Raw genomic sequence first — 14,527 nt, 5'->3', positions numbered from 1 at the left:
TGTTCCTGTCTTCTCAGGCCTCCAAGTCTCCAGGAAGTTCCAAAGTTTCCCAAATTTTCCTGTCTTTTTTTTTTTTTTAAGTTGGAATCTCACTCTGTCACCCAGGCTGAAGTGTAGTGATGCGTTCTTGGCTCACTGCAACCTCTGCCTCCTGGGTTCAAGTGATTCTCCTACCTCAGCCTCCCAAGTAGCTGGGATGACAGGCATATGCCACCGTGCCTGGCTAATTTTTGTATTTTTAGTAGAGACGGGGTTTCACCACGTTGGCCAGGCTGGTCTTGAACTCCTGACCTCAAGTGATCCACTGGCCTTGGCCTCCCAAAGTGCTGGGATTACAGGTGTGAGCCACTGCACTTGGCCTTTCTGACTTCTTCTGAGCCCTCCAAGCTGTTCCACCTTCTGCCTGTTATCCAGTCCCGAAGTTGCTTCCAGATTTTCAGGTATACTTACAGCAGCACCCTAGTACCTCCTGGTACTAAGGTACTGTATTAGTCCGTTCTCACACTGCCATAAAGAACTGCCTAAGACTGTAATTTATAAAGGAAAGAGGTTTAATTGACTCACAGTTCAGCATGGCTGGGGAGGCCTCAGGAAACGTACAGTAATGGCAGATGGGGAAGCAAACACGTCCTTCTTCACATGCTGGCAGAAGAGAGAAGTGTCAAGTAAAGGGGGGGAAAGCCTCTTATAAAACCATCAGATCTCACTCACTCACTATGACAAGAACAGCATGAGGGTAACTGCCACTGTAATTCAATTACCTCCCACGACACATGGGGATTATGGGAAATACATTTCAAGATGAGATTTGGGTGGGTACACAGCCAAACCATATCGTATGGATATTTTGCAAATATTTCCTCCTGTTCTGTGGGTTGTCTCTTCACTTTGTGAAGATTGTTTCATTTTCTTTGCAGAAGCTTTTGAACTTGATGTAATCCACTTGTCAATTTTTACTTTGGTTGTCCATGCTTTTGAGTCTTATATAAAACATCTGTACCCAGGCCAGTATCATGGAGCATTTCCGCAATGTTTTCTTCCAGTAGTTTCATAATTTTAAGTCTTAAATTTAAGTCTTCAATCCATTTTGATTTTATTATTGTGTGTGATGAGAGATAGGGGACGAGTTTATTTCTTCCACATATGGGTTATTCTGTTTTCCCAGCACTATTTACTAATGAGACTTTCCTTCCCCTGTTGTATGTTCTTGCTGCCTTTGTTGGAGAGGAATTTTCTGTAAATGTGTGGATTTATATCTGGGTTCTCCATTCTGTTCCATTAGTCTATGTATCTCTGTTTATGCCAGCACCATGATGTGGTGTTTTTTTAGTATTGCTTTACAGTAAGTTTTGAAGTCAGATACTGTGATGCCTCAGGCTTTGTTCTTTTTGCTCAGGATTGCTTTGGTTATTCAAGGCCTTTTGTTATTCTACATAAATTTTAGGATTCGTCTTTTCTTTTTCTGTGGAGAATGTCATTGGTATTTTTGGTAGGGATTGCATTGATTTGTAAGTTGCTTTGTGTAATATTGTCATTTTAACAATATCAATTCTGTCAATCAATGAGTGTGGTATATCTTTCCATTTTTTGTGCCCCTTCAATTCCTTTCATCAGTTTTTAAATTTCCTTGTATTGATCTTTCTATTTTTGAGTTAGATTGATTTTTAGGTATTTTGCATTTTTTGCAGTTATTGTAAATGGGATTGCCTTCTTGATTTGTCTGACATTGGCATATATAAATGTTACTGTTTTTGAATGTTGATTTCATATCCTGCAACTTTATGGAATTCATTTATCAGTACTAACAATTTTTTGTTGGAGTCTTTAGGTATTTCTAGGTATAAGATCATATTATCTGCAAATGATGCTCCATAGGCAACAAAACAAGTCTGAACAATTTCAAGGAAATAGAATTTATATCATGTATCTTTTCTGTCCACAATGGAATAAAACTAGAAATCAGAAACAAGATGAACATTTTAAGCTACACAAACACATGGAAATTAAAGAACATGTTCCTGAATGACCAATAAGCCAATGAAAAAATTAAGTAGTAAATTTAAGACCAGGCACAGTGGCTCATGCCTGCAATCTCAGCACTTTGGGTGGTCCAGGCACACCGATCCCTTGAGCTCAGGAGTTCAAGACCAGCCTGGGCAACATCACAAAACCTCATCTCTACACAAAAAGTACAAAAATTAGCCAGGTGTGGTGACATGCACTTATAGTCTCAGCTACTTGGGAGGCTGAGGTGGGAGGATCACTTGAGCCCAGAAGATTGAGGCTGCAGTGAGCCATGTTCATGCCACTGCATTCCAGCCTGGGTGACAAAGTGAAACCCCATCTCAAAGCAAAGTGTATTAGTCCATTCTTATGCTGCTAATAAAGACATACCCAGGAATGGGTAATTTATAAAGGAAAGAGGTTTAATGGACTCACAGTTACACATGGCTAGGAGGCCTCATAATCCTGGTGGTAGACAAAGGAAGAGCAAAGGGACATCTTACATGGTGGCAGGGAAGAGGGCATGTGCAGGGGCACTCCCCTTTATAAAACCATCTTATCTCATGAAACTTATTCACTATCAGGAGAACAGCATGGGAAAAACCCACCCCCATGATTCAATTACCTTCTACCGGGTCCCTCCCATGACATGGAATTATTACAATTGAAGGTGAGATTTGGGTGGGGACACAGAGCAAAACCTTATCACAAAGCAAATTTGAAAATGTACTGAAACAACAAAAGTGGAAATACAACATAAAAAAAATCTGTGGGATACAGTAAAAGCAGTACTAAGAGTAAAGTTTACAGCAATAGACACTTAAGTGAAAAAAATAGAAAGACACTCCAAAAAAAACCTAATGATGCACTTCAAAAACTAAAAAAAAGTAAGAACAAATCAAACCCCAAATTAGTAGGTGTAATAGTAAAGATCAGTGCAAAAATAAATGAAATTAAAACAAAATATACAGAAGATCAATGAAAAAACTTGTTTTTTTGAAAAGATAAAATCAACAAACCTGTAGCTACACTAAGAGAAAGAGAGAAGACCCAAATAAAATCAGAAATGAAAAAGGAAGCACAAGTGAGATCTCAGAAATAAAAAGAATAATTCCAAACTATTATAAACAATTATACACCAATAAATTGGAAAAACTAGAAGAAATGGATACATTCCTTGACACATACAGCTTACTAAGACTAAACCATGAAGAAAGAGAAAACCCCAATAAACCAATAATGAGTGATGAGATAGAAGCTATAATAAAATTTCTCCTGTCAAATAAAACCCAGGACCTGATGGCTGCATTGCTTAATTCCAGCAAACATTTAAAAAATTAATAATACCAATTCACTCAAACTCTTCAAAAACTTAAAGAGATGGGAATATGTCCAAACTCATTCCACAAGGCCAATGTTACCCCAATGCTAAAACCATACAAGGCCACAAAAAAAGAAAACTAGAAGCCAATATCACTGATGAACCTAGATACAAAAATCCTCAACAAAATACTAGCAAAGCAAATACAACAATACATTAAAAAGTTTATTCACCATAATCAAGTAAGATTCATCCCAGGAATGCAAGAATGGTTCAACATATACAAATTAATAAATGTGATGCATCACATTAAGGGTGTCAAGAACAAAAACCCATGTGATTATTTTAATAGATACCAAAAAAGAATTTGATAAAATCCAACATCCATTTATGATGAAAGCCCTCAACAAAATGGACATAGAAGGAACATAACTCAAAATAATAAAGCTCGTATATGACAAACCCACAGTTAACATTGTGTTAAACAGTGAAAAAATTGAATTAATGTAGTTATTTGTTCCACTTTGTTTTTACAGCTCTTATTGTCATTTGTAGATATTCATATTTGTTTAGGATAACTGTGTCAATACTTATGCTCACCATTCCTTTTTGCATCTTTCTGCTGGCTATATTTTTAAACACATGAAGATCTTCTTTTAGTAGTTCTTTTCATGATAATTCATTCAATCATCTACTGATTTAAAATTCTTATAGAGCATCTGCTATACGCTATGCAGAGTTTTATGTGGTGTAGATATAGCAGTAAACAAAACAAAGTCCCTGCTGTCATGGAGCTTCCAGGCTAGTGGAAGCTGGCTAGTGCAGTGTAAACAAATAAAAAAATATTTTTTTTTCAGTGCTATAAGGAAGAAAAATAACTCATGGTAAGAGGAAGGGAGATTACTATTAATGATAGGATGTTCAAGCAATGCTTCGGATACAGTAACTTTTGATTAAAACCTGAAGGCTGTGAGTGATTCAGCCATGAGAAAACCTGGAGCAACAGTGAAGATCTGTTCATGGTAAATTCTCTGCCTTATTTTACTTATCTAAAATTATCTTTATTTTGACTTCACTCTTAAATGGTAATCTAAGTTTGGCTATAGAATTCTGAGGTGATCGTTACTTTTCTGTCAACATTTTCTTCCCAGGTTTGTGGGTTTTTATGATGAAGGGATGTTGAATTTTATCAAATGCTTTTTCAGCATCAATTGAAATGATCATATGGTTTTTGTCTTTCATTCTATAGATATGCTGTATCGCATTGACTGAATTGCATATGTTGAACAATCCTTGAATCCCAGGGATAAATCCCACTTGGACATGATGAGTGATCTTTTTAATGTGTTGTTGAATTTGGTTTGCTAGTATTTTCTTGAAAATCTTTGCCTCAATATTCATCAGATATATTGTCTTGTAGTTTTTTTATGTGTCTTTGTCTAGTTTTGGTATGAAGGTAATGCTGGCCTTGTAGAATGCTCTTGATATAGGATTCCCTTCTCCTCTATTTTTTGAAATAGTTTGAGTAGGATTGGTATTAGTTCTTCTTTAAATGTTTGGTAGAATTCATCAGTGAAGCCATCAGGTCCCAGGCTTTTCTTTACTAGGAGTCTTTTTATTATGGCTTTGATCACATTACCTGTTATTGGTCTGTTCAGGTTTGGATTTCTTCATGGTTCAATCTTGGTAGGTTTGTATGTGTCTTAGAATTTCTCAATTTCTTCTAGATTTTCCAATTTATTGGCAAATAGTTGCTCTCAGTAGCCAATAATGATCCTTTGAATTTCTTCCTTATCAGTTTTAATGTCTCCTTTTTCATCTCTGATTTTATTTCATTATTCTCTCTTTTCTTCTTAGTCTGGCTAAAGGTTTATCAAGTTTATCTTTTCACAAACCTACTGTTTTTCATTGATCTTTTGTGCTGTTTTATTTATTAAAGTTTCATTTATTTCTGCTCTGATCTTTATTATTTCTTTTCTTCTACTAATGTTGGGCTTGGTTTGCTCTTGTTTTTTCTAGTTCTTTAAGATGCATTGTTAGGTTGTTTATTTGAAGTTTTTCTTCCTTTTTGGTAGAGGCACTTATATCTATAAACTTCCCTCTTAGCACTGCTTTCACTGCATGCCATAGGTTTTGGTATGTTGTGTTTGCATTATCATTTGTTTCAAGGAATTTTTCAATTTCTCTCTTAATTCCTTCAATGACCCATTGGTCATTCAGCAGTATGTTGTTTAATTTCCATGTGTTTGTGTAGTTTCCAAAATTCCTCTTATTATTGATTTCTGGTTTTTTTCCATTGTGGTTAGAGAATAGGCTTGATATTATTTCAAATTTTTTTAATGTTTTAAGGCTTGTTTTGCAGCCTAACATAGGGTCTATCCTTAAGAATGTCCCATGTGCTGAGGAAAAAAATGTGTATTCTGCAACCATTGGAGGAAAAGATCTGTAAATATCTATTAGGTCCATTTGATCTATACTGCAGATTAAGTCCAATGTTTATGTGATGATTGTCTGTCTGGACTATCTGTCCAATGTTGAAATGAGTTATTGAATTCTCCAGCCATCATTGCATAGGGCTCCATCTCTCTCTTTAACTCTAATAATATTTGCTATATATTTCTGGGTGCTCCAGCATTGGGTGCATATATATTTACAATTGTTATTTCCTATTGCTGAATTGAACCCTTTATCATTATATAGTGACCTTCTTTGTATCTTCTTATAGTTTTTTTCTTGATATCTATTTTGTCTGATATAAGTGTAGCTACTCCTGCTCTTTTTTGCTTTCCATCTGCATGGAATATCTTTTTCCATCCCTTTATTTTCAGTTTACATGTGTCTTTAAAGGTGAGGTGTGTTTCTTTTAGGCAACAGACCACTGGCTCTTGCTTTTTTCATCCATTCACCCACTGTATTTTTTTTATTATAGCATTTAGTCAATATACATTCAGCATTATTAGTAGTAAGCAAGGACTTACTTCTGCCATTTTGTTATTTGTTTTCTAGTTGTTTTGTGGTCTTTTCTTCCTTTTTTCTTCCCTTCTTGTGATTGTTTTACTGAAGGTGATTTTCTCTGATGATATGATTTAGTTTCTTACTTTTTACTTTTTAAGTATCCATTGTATGGTTTTTGGTTTAAGTTTACCAGGAGGTTTGCAAATACTATCTTATGCCCCGTTATTTAAGCTGATGACAACTTAGTATTGTTCCCATAAACAAACAAACAAGCAAAAAGAAAACTAATAAAAATTCTATACCTTATTTGTTCCCCCACTTTTTAACTTTTTGTTGTTTCTATTTATATCTTATTCTACTGTCTATGTCTTGGAAAGTTGTTGTAGTTATTATTTTTGATTAGTACATGATTGAATCTTTCTATGAAGATAAGAGTAGTTTACACAGCACAGCTGCAATGTTATAGTATTCTGTGTTTTTCTGTGTACTTAGTAACACCAGGGAGTTTTGTACCTTCAGATTATTTCTTATTACTCATTAATGTTCTTTTCTTTCTGATTGAAGTACTCCCCTTAGCATTTCCTATAGGGCAGGTCTGGTTGTGATGAAATCCCTCCGCTTTTGTTTTTCTGGGAAATTATTTATTTCTTTTTCATGTTTGAAGGATATTTTCAATAGATTTACTATTCTAGGGTAAAAGTTTTTTTACTTCAGTACTTTAAATATGTCATGCCATTCTCTCCTGTCCTGTAAGGTTTCCATTGAAAAGTCTGCTGCCAGATGTATTGGAGATCCATTGCATGTTGTTTCTTTTCTCTAGCTGCTTTTATAATTATTTCTTTATTTTTGACCTTTGGGAGTTTGATTATGAAATGTTCTTGAAGTAGTCTTCTTTGAGTTAAGTCTGGTTGATGTTCTATAACCTTCTTGTACTTGGATAATGATATCTTTCTCTGGGTTTGGAATATTCTCTTTTATTGTCCCTTTCAATAAATTTTCTACCTCTATCTCTTTCTGTACCTCCTCTTTAAGGCCAATAACTCTTAGATTTGCCCTTTTGAGGCTATTTTCTTGTTCTTGAAAGCATGCTTCATTGTTTTTTATTCCTTTTACTTTTGTCTCCTATTACTGTGTACATTCAAATAGCCTGTCTTCAGGCTCAATAATTATTTCTTCTGCTTGACTCATTCTACTATTAAAAGACTCTGATGCATTCTCCAGTATGCCTATTGCATTTTTCAGTTCGAGAATTTCTGCTTGATTCTTTTTAACTATTTCAGTTAATTTTATCTGATAGAATTCTGAATTCCTTCTCTGTGTGTTATTGAATTTCTTTGAGTTTCCTCAACACAGTTACTTTGAATTATCTCTCTGAAAGGTCACATATCTCTTTCTCCAGGTTTGTTCCCTGGTTCCTTATTTAGTTTATGATGTGGTTTAGCTGTGTCCCCACCCAAAACTCATCTTAAATTGTAGTTCTCATAATCCCCACATGTCACAGAAGGGACCCGGTTGGAGGTAATTGAATCATGGGGGTGCTTACTCTCATGCTGTTCTTGTGATAGTGAGTGAGTTCTCAAGAGATATAAGGGGCTTTTCCCCCTTTTGCTTGGCACTTCTCTCTCCTGCCGCCATGTGAAGAAGGATGTGTTTGCTTCCCCTTCTGCTATAATTGTAAATTTCCTGAGGCCCCCCCAGCCATGCTGAACTGTGATTTAATCAAGCTTCTTTCCCTTATAAGTTACAGTCTCGGATATGTCTTTATTAGCAGTGTGAGAATGGACTAATACAGTAAACTGGTATCACAGAGAGTCGGGCACTGTTGTAAAGATGCCTGAAAATGTGGAAGAGACTTTGGAACTGGATGACAGGCAGAGGTTGAAACAGTTTGGAGGTCTCAGAAGAAGAAAGAAAAATGTGGGAAAGTTTGGAACTTTCTAGAGACTTAGAGGGCTCAGAAACAGGAAGATGTGGGGAAGTTTTGAGCTTCCTAGAGACTCATTGAATGGCTTTGACCAAAATGCTGATAGCAATATGTACAATAAAGTCCAGGCTGAGGTGGTCTCAGATGGAAATAAGGAACTTGTTGGAAACTGGAGCAAAGATGACTTTTGTTATGCTTTAGCAAAGAGACCGGTGAAATTTTGCCCCTGCCCTAGCGATCTGTGGAACTTTGAATTTGAAAGAGATGATTTAGGGTATCTGGTGGAAGAAATTTCTAAGTGGCAAAGCATTCAAGAGGTGACAGAGCATAAAAGTTTGGAAAATTTGCACACTGGCAATGTGATGGAAAAGAAAAAGCCATTTTCTGGGAAGAAATTCAGGCTGGCTGCAGAAATTTGTATAAGTAACAAGGAGCAGAATGTTATTTACCAAGACAATGGGTAAAATATCTCCAGGACATGTCAGAGACCGTTACAGCAGCCCCTTCCATCACAGGCCCAGAGGCCTAGGAGGAAAAAATGGTTTCATGGGCCAGGTCCAGGAACCCCCTGCTCCATGCAGCCTGGGGACAGTGCCCTGCATCTTCAGTTGCTTCAGCTCCAGCTGTGGCTAAAAGAGGCCAAGGTACAGCTCAGGCCATGGCTTCAGACGGTGCAAGCCCCAAGCCTTGGCAGCTTCCACAAGATGTTGAGCCTGCAGGTACACAGAAGTCAAGAATTGAGATTTGGGAACCTCCACCTAGATTTCAGAGGATGTATGGAAACTCCTGGATGTCCAGGCAAAAGTTTGCTGCAGGGGCAGAACACTCATGTATAACCTCTGCTAGGGCAGTGTGGAAGGGAAATATGGGGTTGAAGGCCACACACAGAATTCCCACTGGGGCACCGCATAGTGGAAGTGTGAGAAGAGGGCCACCATCCTCCAGACCCCAGAATGGTAGATCCACTGACAGCTTGCACCATGCACCTGGAAAAGCCACAGACACTCAACTCCAGCCCATGAAAACAACTGGGAGGGGGGCTGTACCCTGCGAAGCCACAGGGGTGGAGCTGCCCAAGGCCATGGCAGTCCACCTCTTGCATCAGCATGACCTGGATGTGAGACATGGAGTCAAAGGACATCATTTTGGAACTTTAAGGTTTAATGACTGCACTGTTGGATTTTGGACTTGCATGGGGACTGTAGCCCCTTTGTTTGGCCAGTTTCTCTCATTTGGAATGGATGCATTTACCCAATGCCTGTACCCCCATTGTATCCAGGTAGTAACGAACTTGCTTCTGATTTTACAGGCTCATAGGTGGAAAGGACTTGCCTTGTCTCCGATGAAACTTTGAATTTGGACTTTTGAGTTAATGCTGGAGTTAGTTAAGAATTTGGGGAACTGTTGGAAGGACATGATTGTACTTTTAAATGTGAGGATATTAAATTTGGGAGGCACCAGGAGTGGAATTATATGATTTGGCTGTTCCCTCATCCAAATCTCATCTTGAATTTTAGTTCCCCTAATCCCCATGTGTCATAGGAGGGGCCTGGTGGGGGTGATTAAATTATGGGGGTGATTACCCTTATGCTGTTTCATGATAGTGAGAGAGTTCTAATGAAATCTGATGGTTTTATAAGTGGCTTTTCCCCCTCTTGCCTGGCACTTCTTGCTGCCACTGTGTGAACAAGGACATGTTTGCTTCCCCTTCTGCCATGATTGTAAGTTTCCTGAGGTCTCTCCATCCATGTTGAACTTTGAGTCAATTAAATTTCTTTCCTTTATAAATTGCCCAGCCTCAGGTATGTCTTTATTTGTATCATGAGAATGGAGTAATACAGTTCATTTGGTGAGTTCATGTTTTTCTTGGATTGTCTTTATACTTCTAGATGTTCATCAGGTCTGGGCATTGAAGAGTATGGTATTTATCATAGTCTTCTCAGTCTGGGCTTGTTTGTACCCCTCCTTTTTGGGAAGGCTTTCTGGATATTTGAAAGGACTTGGGTGTTGTGATCTAAGCTGTATCTGTTTTAGGGGGCACCTCAAGCTCAGTAACACTGTGGTTCTTGCAGTCTTTTAGAGATTCTGCCTTAATGTTCTTAGACAGTATCCAGAAGAATTCTCTGCATTACCAGTCAAAGACTTTTCTTGGCTTCCCTTACTAACTTTCAAACAAATTAAGTCTCTCCCTATGTTCTAAGCCACCTGAAGCTGAGAGTGGAGTGACAAAAGCACCCCTATGGCCACCACCACTATGACTGTGCTGGGTCAGACCTGAACCCAGCACAGTATTGGGTCTCACTCAAGGCTTCCTGTAACTACTTCCTGGCTACTGCCTATGTTCACTCAAGGCCTTGGTGTTCTACAATCAGTATATGACAAAGCCAGCCAGGCCTGTGTCCTTCCATTTGGGGTGGTGAATTCTTCCAGGCCCTTGGCAGATCTAGACATGCCATCTGGGAGCCAGAGACTACAGTCATAAATAGAAATCTACCTGGTTTTTCTCTTGTACTGCAGCTGAGCTGGCTCTTAAACCACAGCATGCAGTCTTTCCTACTCCACCTTCCCCTTTTCATAGGCAGAGGAGCCTCACCTCATGGCCACCACCACCGCCCCACAAGAGTACCGCCAGACTACTACTGATGTTCCCTTAAGGCCCAAAAGCTCTTCAGTTAGCTTGTACTGAGTACTTCCTGGCCTGGGACTCACCTTTCAGGGCAGTCTCCTCCAGTCTGGCCCAAGGCAGGTCCAGAAATGCTGTCCAGGAACCAAGTCCTCAAATCAGGGTCCCCAAGAGCCTGCTTGATGCTCTAACACACTGAAGCCAAGCTCGTACCGAAGATTGAATAAAAAAATCCCATTTACTTTTCCCTCCACTTTTTTCAAGCAGAAAGCGTCTAGTACCATAGCCATCACAGCTGGGAATGTACTGAGTCTCACCTGAAGCTAGCAAATCTCAGAGCCTAATCCAAGGCCTACCACATAGTGTTTGGGTATCACTGCTGGTTATTCAGGGCCCAAGGGCACTTTAGTTAGCAGGTGATAAATCCTGCCGGGGTTCGTTCCTTCCTTTCAAGGCAATGGGTTTCCTTCTGACCCGCTGTGTTTCTAGAAATGTCACCTGGGAGTTAGGGCCTGTAAAAAGGGCCTCACAACTCTGACTGCTGCCCTGTCCTGCTTTGGCTGAGCTGGTATCCAAGATGCAAGACAAAATCTTCCCTACTCTTCCCTCTCCTCTACTCGAGTGGAAGGAAGCGATCTCTTTTGGAGCTGCGAGCTGTGCAGCTTTGGGTTAGGAGAGGAATGAAGCCAGCACTCCCTTAGCTGCCCTGGCTGGTGTCTCCATAGGTCACATGTCTCCCCACAGTCAGTCCACTGGCTCTGGGCCCAGTTTAGCACTAGAAATCACCTACGAGTTGCTGCCCTTGTGGCCTAGACTGCTGTTCATGTTTACTTAGGGCTCCAGAGCACTTTAGCCCAAGGTGGCAAGGCTTATGGAAACTGAAGTTGCAACTGCTGGGATCAGTGATTCCCCTCTGGCTAGGGCTAGGATAAATACTCCCTCCATCGGCAGGCATCAGCTAAGTTTGGTCTGGTTTTGCTTTCTGTTGTAACAGGGCAGCACTAGTTCAATGTCTCACAATTGCTGTGTTCTCCCCCTCGTCAGTGTACAGAACAGTTCTCCATGCCACACCACCAGTGACAGCAGATTGGGGAGGGGTGGTGTCAGTGATTCAAGACTGTTTTTCCTACCTCTTCTGTAACTCTTTCAGTGATATGTAGTTAAAATCAGGCACTGTGAGTGCTCTCCTGATTTTTAATTCCTATGAAGGTACTTTTTTGTGTGTGTATAGATAGTTGTTAAATTGGTGTCCCTGCTGAGTGGGGGAGGGACAATCAGTGGAGCCTTCTATTGTGCCATCTTGTTGTGCCCTCAACAACATTTTCAAAGTGTATTTTTATTGTCTTTTTGGTTTCTATTGTTGCATTTAAGAAGTCAACATAAGTGGTGGTTATAAGTCAAGTGGTCATATCTATGTAGGTAGTATGTCTTTTCTGTTTTGCAATTTTAAAAATCTCTTCTTTGGTATTCTTTAAATTCATTATGTACTGGCTGGGATCTATTGTAATGTATTGAGCTTGCAATTCATTATGGTACTTGAAGCTAAGGATGCATATATTTCAACAATTCTGGAAATTGTAGTCCATTACTACTTTGAATATTTTTTCTCCCCTATTTTCTCAAATCTCTCACATTTAGAATCGTAATACACGTATACTGAAACTTTTGTTTTTATCCTTCATAGTACTATATCTCCCTTTCATATTTCCTATCAGTTATATGTCTTAAATGTGAACTGGGCAATTTTTCCTCATATGTATTTTCCAGTTCACTAATATCTCTTTCATAATATCTAATCTTCAATGTAACACACCCACTGAACTTTTATTTTCAATGACTATTTTTCTTTTACAGAAAGTCAACTTCAATTAGATATATCTTTTTCAAATTTGCTTTTACTTTCTCCCTTCCCCTCATAACCTTTATAATTTTAATTATAGTTTTTTTCATAATCACTACTGGATAATTATGTTATATGAAGTCCTTGGAGGGGCTCTAATTCAGTTTTATCTTGTATCTGTTGACCCTTACTTGTAACCATTTCCTTAGGTGTTTTGTCATTAAGGACAGTGAAGTAATTTTCAGCAAGCATTAATTTGTGGTTCTGTCCTTCCAGTTTTTTGTGTGTTTGCTTTGGCAAGTCAATCTAGTGGTATACCCAGCTTAAGACCAATTTTTGTGTTAAGTTTTCAGCTTGTAAACTTCAGATCAGGCAGACAGTATATATTCGGATGTCAATCCCACATATGATTAGAATTTTGAGGTTGCTACATTTCAGTAGAAACACTTTCTCCTCAACTCCTCCCTCTTCCTTTTTGAACTTTTGTGTTGTGATCTGATTTTGTCTAGTTAAGTTGATCTAGTTTACCCTTTTGCTAAGCTCTTAACAGATTCTTGGCTTTATGTGAAAGTCTAGTTCCAGCTTCTCATCTGCCACAGTCCTGCCTCCTCTTCCTCTTAAAAGTGTTCCAGTTTAGGCAACCAATTATATGATCTTTAAATCTGTAGGCAGGAATGTTTTTGGTCTACTAAAGGAAGAGAAATGCCAGAATGGCTAATCTTTAAAGGAAAGAGTGTTTGGAGAATAACTCAGAGAGGAAGGCAAGGGCCAGCTTATGGCAAGGAAAAGTTCATCCCACATACGATTGGAAGCCATTAGGGGATTTTAAACCAAAGAATATTCAGCAAATTCTGGCTTTCATTTCTTTTAACCTGGCTATCTGGAAGTGTCCCCTGTGCCTTGTGTAGTTCAGTGGTCAAATATTTGGGCAGATGTTATACTCAGATTTTGGGACTCACCCTCTCAGTGGTTCTCTTGTTCCCAGGACATCCTCATGAATTTCCATCTTCCAATCCAGAGCTTATTCTCTGATAAGCTAATACTTTTTCAGATTTCCTCCACTTGAATTGTGATGGATTAAGGAATTCCTTCAGTCTAAATCGTAGCAAATTCACAAACATCACCCAGCTCATTTCTTTCATTTAGTGGACCACTATCTTATTGTTTCTGCCTATTTTTTTTAACTGGGCCCCAGGGTCTCTCCTATTTGTGTGTAGTATAGTGATCAGCCGGAATTTTTCGGCAGAATATATATTCAGATTTGGAGGCCCATCCCTTCTGGGATTCTCTTACTTTTGAGTCTTCCATCCCTAATGGTCCAGATTCTCTGCCACCTTGAGCCAGTAAGGGTGTTGTATATGCCACAGGAATTCTAGGTTTGGGAAGCACCTTCAAGAAAGAAAAATCACAAACTCACAATTCTAATCTATTGCTGCTGCCATCTTTCAAAGGTAAACTCACCTTAGGTTTCTGTCTGCTTTCAGTCACGCTCCACTGCTTTCAAGGAATACAGGTATATACAGTTGTTGTTCAGGTTTTATAATTAATAGCTACAAGAAAATGTAATCAAACAATTTATTATGCTGTTACCAATACCTGGAACATTTATTGTTCATTTATTTTGTATTTAGATAAACAGCAAATTTGAATATTTTCTTCACGTTTATTAGCAATTTTTATCCATTTCATGACTTTGCTGTTCATTTACCCATTTTTATCTTATTTGTCTATAAGGTATGTTTTTTATCTTATTTATCTATAATATTTCATTATTTATTGAGGATAATAAGCTATTTGCTAATCAGACATATTGTTATTTTGAGGCTCAGATTAAATGTACGATAAAATGTAAGGTTTTGG

At 38.5% G+C, this 14,527-nt stretch overlaps 1 protein-coding gene across 2 annotated transcripts in view; it reads left to right on the top strand.

Annotated features, from left to right (window-relative positions):
• The window catches only part of GABRA3 (gamma-aminobutyric acid type A receptor subunit alpha3), a 285,082-nt gene that overhangs the window by 180,383 nt on the left and 90,172 nt on the right, over window positions 1–14,527 (top strand). The gene's annotated exons all lie outside the window — the stretch shown is intronic.

This window comes from Homo sapiens, chromosome X, assembly GCF_000001405.40.
Source record: "Homo sapiens chromosome X, GRCh38.p14 Primary Assembly".
Lineage (NCBI taxonomy): Eukaryota > Metazoa > Chordata > Mammalia > Primates > Hominidae > Homo > Homo sapiens.
This window is presented reverse-complemented; position numbering and strand designations above follow the sequence as displayed.